The 6,000-nt window shown below is 42.9% G+C and overlaps 1 protein-coding gene across 10 annotated transcripts in view; it reads right to left on the reverse strand.

The window, feature by feature from the left end:
* The window catches only part of ROBO1 (roundabout guidance receptor 1), a 1,170,760-nt gene extending 1,165,834 nt beyond the window's left edge, over positions 1-4,926 (reverse strand). For 9 of the 10 annotated variants that reach the window (XM_017006982.2, XM_047448664.1, XM_047448661.1 and 6 more), the window contains exon 1: positions 4,680-4,926. The gene's annotated coding sequence lies outside the window, so the exon portion shown is untranslated. Of the gene's footprint in view, positions 1-4,388 lie in introns of all 10 variants that reach the window. The other variant, XM_011533977.3, reaches the window with a different exon arrangement.

Raw genomic sequence — 6,000 nt, forward strand, 5'->3', positions numbered from 1 at the left:
TAGGACAGTTTCCTTTAAAATGCTTGTGATGCATTTCTAGGTGGAGATGAAATTAGATCTTTGGAAATATAGGTATGACAATCAGGAGCAATGCATGGACAAGAAATATAAAATTTGAATGTCATTACTGAAACTCCGGAAATGTATCACAACATCTGGGTGACTATCGAGTGCGAAAAAATAATAAGGGCAAAATGCAGAAATATAATGAAGAAATAGAAATTTATAGTTGATGGATAATGTATGTAAAAGTATATAAGGTAAAGGCTCAAAAAATGTTAGCTTACTCCTCTTAATCCCTGAATAAAGACCAAATTAGACAGCAGATGTTATTGGAAATTACTTGGAATTTCAGAGGTAAGGAACAGCAATAGGGTTGGAATAATAAGAAAAATTTTATGGTGGAGAAGGAACATGAACCACCCTAGACAAATGGATAGGGTTTGGCCAAATGAAGAAGATAATTTTGCAGATTAGAGAAGACACGTGTGCAGAAATGGAAAGGCAGAAAAGAACAACTGGCTGAAACTGACGTACTGGATCCTTAGCAGGCATCCTGGCTACATATGCACAAATTTCAAAGAAAATGGAAAGCCCCTCAGTTTTCCCCAAGTGCTCTGACCCCCAGAGATGATACAGGCAGGGTGGCAGATAGGGGTGGGGTATATTTTCTGAAAAAGTTATTTACTGTTTATGAGATCCTTGGAAAGTAACTGTAAAAGTTTGCTCTTGGAGAAATGCAGATAATGCTTTGGACATGAAAAAGATATCAAGGAGATTAAAAAATTATGAGTACTAAAATAAAATTCAAGGAATAATCAAACTCCTTGTTTAAATATGGGGGAAAATAGGTAGGTCCAGTTAACTGAAGAGAATGGCTCCCTTAAAAGCAGCAGTATGACATACTAGAAAAGCATGTACTCTGTCATGAGAAAGAACTTGTTTTTAATCCTGGCTCTGCCCCTTTTTGGCTGAATAGTCATGTCTATTTTCCTTAAACTCTCTGAGCTTCATTCTCTTCATGTGTTGTAGACATCTAATAAAGCCTACTTTGAAAGGGTTATGTGGGGATTAAGTGAAATATCTATTGCAGGTACGGTGACTAACACTGTTTCTACAGTTTTATCCTATGTAGTTTTGAATTAGTCAGTTAGCCTTCTAGGACCTCAATTTCCTATAGAATTAGGAGAATTGGCACTAATATATTTTAGGTACAAATATGAATACATTAACAGTAACATTGCTCACTTCAACAGCAAGTTTAGAGAGATAAATGATTATGTGACCAGGTCATAATCTAGCCTATTGTATGCTATCATGTTTTTGTCTGTGGTCTCAGAAAGAGGAAAATCAGTTGAGTTTAGGTGGCAAGAAGGAGCTCATTCTCCAGCAGATTGGTGGAAGCTCACCTCAAGATACATTTCAAATGGTGCATTGCACCTGCTCATTCATCAAGCTGCCAGGGGCTTACTTTACTGCCTTGCTTTTTTTCATTTAAAATTCACATCTTTGTGGTGTCTAGAGTTTCTCAGCTTTGTAATGAAAGTAATACATTAAATCTTGCTTAAATAAAAGTAGTTCCTAATGTATTAAGTATAGATGAAGGCCAAAAAGTGAGATTTTATAGCTAAGCACAACACTACTTTCCAAATAGTGCACACAAGTGTATAGCTTCCTTTTCATCTCTGGTCAATGTTATTTTGTATTTGAATTGATTCTACTATGTTATAAGATAAAAGAAAATTATACAGAACAATGCAGTTCTCTTTGGGGAGATATTAGGGTATTTGTTCTTTATTTTGTGCAGTATAGGGTAAGAGAAAGTTGGCATTAAACCTTTGGGACTCCCTAGGCAGCTGTTGAGTCTCTCCCCTCCTCCCATGCTCAGCTCAGTGCTATATCACTGGAAATCACTAACCTTCATAGAGTAGAGCCCAGAAGATGGTAACACTGGTTCAAGGACAGGCTAAGGGAAGCGAAGGGAAGTAAAAGGAAGTAAATAGGAAAATACAACAAACATGTGATTAACAGCTGTTTTCTGAAGCAAGGCTCCACCAGGGATCTGCAGCTGTGTCATTGTGCTTCAATTCTGCAGCTCCTACAGGGCTAAATTGGAAGAGGCATGGAGCAGGAAGATATGTGCGAAAAGGCTAAAGGAAGTCCAAAAACCGTGGCAACAATATAAGGTGAATGCCCCCACTCCTTAGATATCCTAATTTTTATCCCTCATGGGAGAGGTATAGGTCCATAAGAAACAAAGTCATCTTACCAACTGGATATCTGCTCCGAGCTGCTGCTGCTTCCTCTTCCTTTTTTTGGGGGGTGGGGGCCGATTTTGGAAGGGCAAATATTGATGGAACATCTACCAACACTGCCTCTTCCCTTTAACAAAATCAACATGATGCATGCTTACAGATTGCCTTTGAAAGTTACCAGTGCCTCCTCAAGATATAGTAGAGAAGCAGGTTTTAAGGTGTCAGACTGAGGCTTTCAAAATAATAGCTGCTAGGAGAATACAAGTTTGGGCCTGAAAACCCAGTTATGAGGCTTCCAAATAAATCAGTGGATTTTCAACTTTTTTTTGTAATTATTATATCCTAGTTCCCAAACAACCACAGTAAAGGAGGCACATGGAAAGCGAGGAAAAAATGAAATGGCATTGTCTTCCCCCAGGTGCTCAATCAGTATATTTCCTTTGATGTGTAGCCTTCAAGTAACTGACAACCCCAAGTGGCCCATTCTATAGGGTCCTGCATCTACGCTCCTTCCTCTGTGCGCTCAGCCCGGGTTGACAAGCAACCTCCAAATTAAACAACCTCCCACCACTACTTGGAAACAGACAACCATCTCTTAACAGGCCTCTGTAACACACAGCTTGATGAAAATCACTTACACAGGGCAGATGACACAGAGGAGTTTACAAGGTCGGGGCACTCCTTGGCGGGGCGTGAAAGGGTGGGAGGTGCTGAGGTCAGGGTTAAACTACCCTGTGAAATGAGCCTCCTGCCCTGCCCTTTCCTCCCTTCATCTATAGAAGGAGCCTCCAGTGAGTTCCTGCGTCTGGAAATCTGCCCCCTTTAGTGCCGCAGACAGGCCAGGGACAGCATTTCAAAGCTCCTCTAAATCAATCCACTTAAAAGAGCCCAGAAAAGCCTGACCATTGACCATAATTGCCCTAAATTGCTTGTTTTCCTTCCCCTCTTGCAGCCTCATCAACATTTCCCTTCTTTCCCCCTTCGTGTCCTTTTTTCTTGGGGGCGCAGGTCCTCTAGATGCTTGGGGTGCACACTAAGGATATTTGAGTAGTGGGAGCTCCGACTCGAGGCAGGAGTGGGATGTCTTAGCATTCCGTCTCCCCCACCCCACCCATCTGCGTGGGACACAGTGACTCCTAGAAGGGTATCCCAGGATTTTAGCGGCCAGGTGTGAGCGCCCTCCACGCGGTCCTCCGAGACCTCAGGGCGCGTGGCAACTGGGCAGAAGCCGTCTCTGCAGCGCCGCTGCCCCGGGTGGAGCGGCAGCCCAGGCTGCAGCAGTGGGGTTGCCACGCCGAGTTTTCCGCATCGGCCGCCCGCAGGGCTCGCCTGCTTCTCCCCATTGTGTTCTCAGAGCTGTGGGACCCAGCCGCGCGCGCAGCCGCACCCGCGCCAACGCTGGAACCGAAGGCTCATGGAAGCGGGGCTGGCAAGATGGGGCAGGGAGAAGGAGCAAGAAGGGGCCCCAGAAGGGCACGGCGTTTCATCAATAATGCAGAGGCTCCTGGACCTCCCTGCAATACGTTTTCCAGCTAAACGCCACCAACTGGAGCGCTTCCTGGTTCGTCCCACTCGTGTGGTTTTTGTGTGTGAAAGATGGGACGCACCTTTTTCATTCATCTGTCTTCTCTCATTCTTCCTCCTTCCCTCCCTCATTTCCTCCCTCAAAGTCCCCGCTGGCTTAGCTTTAAGCTCTCGTCTTCACATCAGCACCATGTTTTCAAGCAAAATCCTGCAGGTTGGAAATGCAAGTGTCAAAAGTCCCCACTGCCTACATACCGCCAAGAGTTTACCAAAATCCACCTAGTAACGCTTATTTTCAAAGCCCCCACGCGCATCCATTCCTGGAGAATGCTTTCAAAGTTTGGAAGCTCCCTGCAGCCTGCCCGTGTCTATGCCTCAGTCAGCTCACATCACGAACAACGGTGCGGTCAGCGGCACTGAGATTAGGCTGCAAAGTTGCCCGGCCCCAGCCCACTACACCGCTGATGCTCGCCGCATCCCTAGAGCAAATTCCGCTGTGTGCCCCCAAGAAGCCAAAAGCGGCACGAAACCTACTCCAACAAGGGTTAGCCCAGCCACACACACAACAAACAAATTCCAAAACTTCTTTGTTAAGCAGCCGCAGCCTACCTGGAACGGACACTCTGCACAACTGGCAAGGAAGAAACAAACATCGCATCCCTGCAGGAAAACTTGTTGAATCCCTCCCGATCGCAAGGCTGCAATTTCCGATTTAGCCTGAAGGTTTTTGATTCTACCCCAAAACACCCTGGCGCATCAGCCACAATTTCTGGATAAACTGCAGAGTCCTCTCGGCAACCATTCTGCACTCCAACAACCACTAGTGTAAAACCCAGCGTGTCCCCTTTTACAAATCAAAAGCCAGCTGTCACTTCCCTTGCAACCATTTCCGAGACTTACCCTTCCATAAGACTGTTTTCAGCAATCTAGAGGCTCCGTAGTGCAGACGCAGCCCTGCAACTTTGCTGTGCACTGAGACCTTTCCGAGTTTAAACCAAGCGAAAGGTGACAGACTTTTAAACCTAAGAGTGGGGAAATAGGGAGAGAGTGAAGTCGGGTTTCTTCTCTGTATCAGCACCCTGGAAAAATTCAATCCTTCTTCAGTAGAGAATTCTTTCAAACCCGTTATCTGTATTACTATTAATGCGCAGAGCAGAAGGCATTGCATACAAATAGGTCCAAGTGTGCGCTTCTATTGGTGGCTGCGGAGGCCCCTGGGTCCTACTGCTCCGGTCTAAACTACACAGCAACACTAGGCACGCAGCTTTGGAGACGCCGAGGGGAAAATGGATTTAATTGATTCGTTACCTCTGGTATTGTAATGCCTGCTGCGATGTTTAACCGAGGGGGGAGGAAAAAAAAAAAAAAAAACCCTTACATTTAACTCCTGTCATGTGATCTATCATTCCATAGCTGCTTTTAATTGTCTGTGTGGAGTGGCTTTGATCATACAAAGGATTTTAAAAGAACATTTTCGAAGGAAAATTCACACAGACACTTTTGGCAGGAAAACCCTCTTTTGCTCTCTATTATGCATTATTCTCATATAAATCCAGGAAATTTTATATAATCAAATACTTCTGCACTTCACGTAGGTACACACAACACCCAATTGTATTTACAATTCATAGCTACTACAAATAAAATACCTTACATGGGTAGTAGATAGTAGAAGCTAAAATATGAGTCTACCAATTATAAAACACGGGTTATATTAGTCAAATGCTACAGAAAAAATTCCATCAATGACAATGGCGTCAGCATCATTTTTACTTCGCAAAATTAGAAATTCAAAAATATTTTCCTTGTAAATATTGACATAAAGATATAAATCAACATAAAGGTATTATAATGTCACAGTATGTCAAGCATTTACTATTAATTGCTACATTATCTTTTTACAGTTTCTCTCTTAGCAAGTTCATTAGTAATGCAAATTGGCATAACAAGGAGATTTAAAGTGAGGCCGACCTGTGGTGACTAGCAATTTGAAATATTGTAATAGTGTGCAAAATCACTTTAGTTCATCATCGGTAAAGCCAGTTATTTTAAGAATTAGAATATTAAATGCTGAATCTTAATATATATTAATTTGAAGTCTTAAACATGCTGTTTTCTTTGACCTTTAATTTTGTGGAGGAAAAGAGAAATCCTTATTTAAACTAAAATGACATAGACTTTCCACAAAATCCTAGATACGATATTTACTGATATTATAATT

The sequence above is a fragment of the Homo sapiens genome, chromosome 3, assembly GCF_000001405.40.
Source record: "Homo sapiens chromosome 3, GRCh38.p14 Primary Assembly".
Classification (NCBI taxonomy): domain Eukaryota; kingdom Metazoa; phylum Chordata; class Mammalia; order Primates; family Hominidae; genus Homo; species Homo sapiens.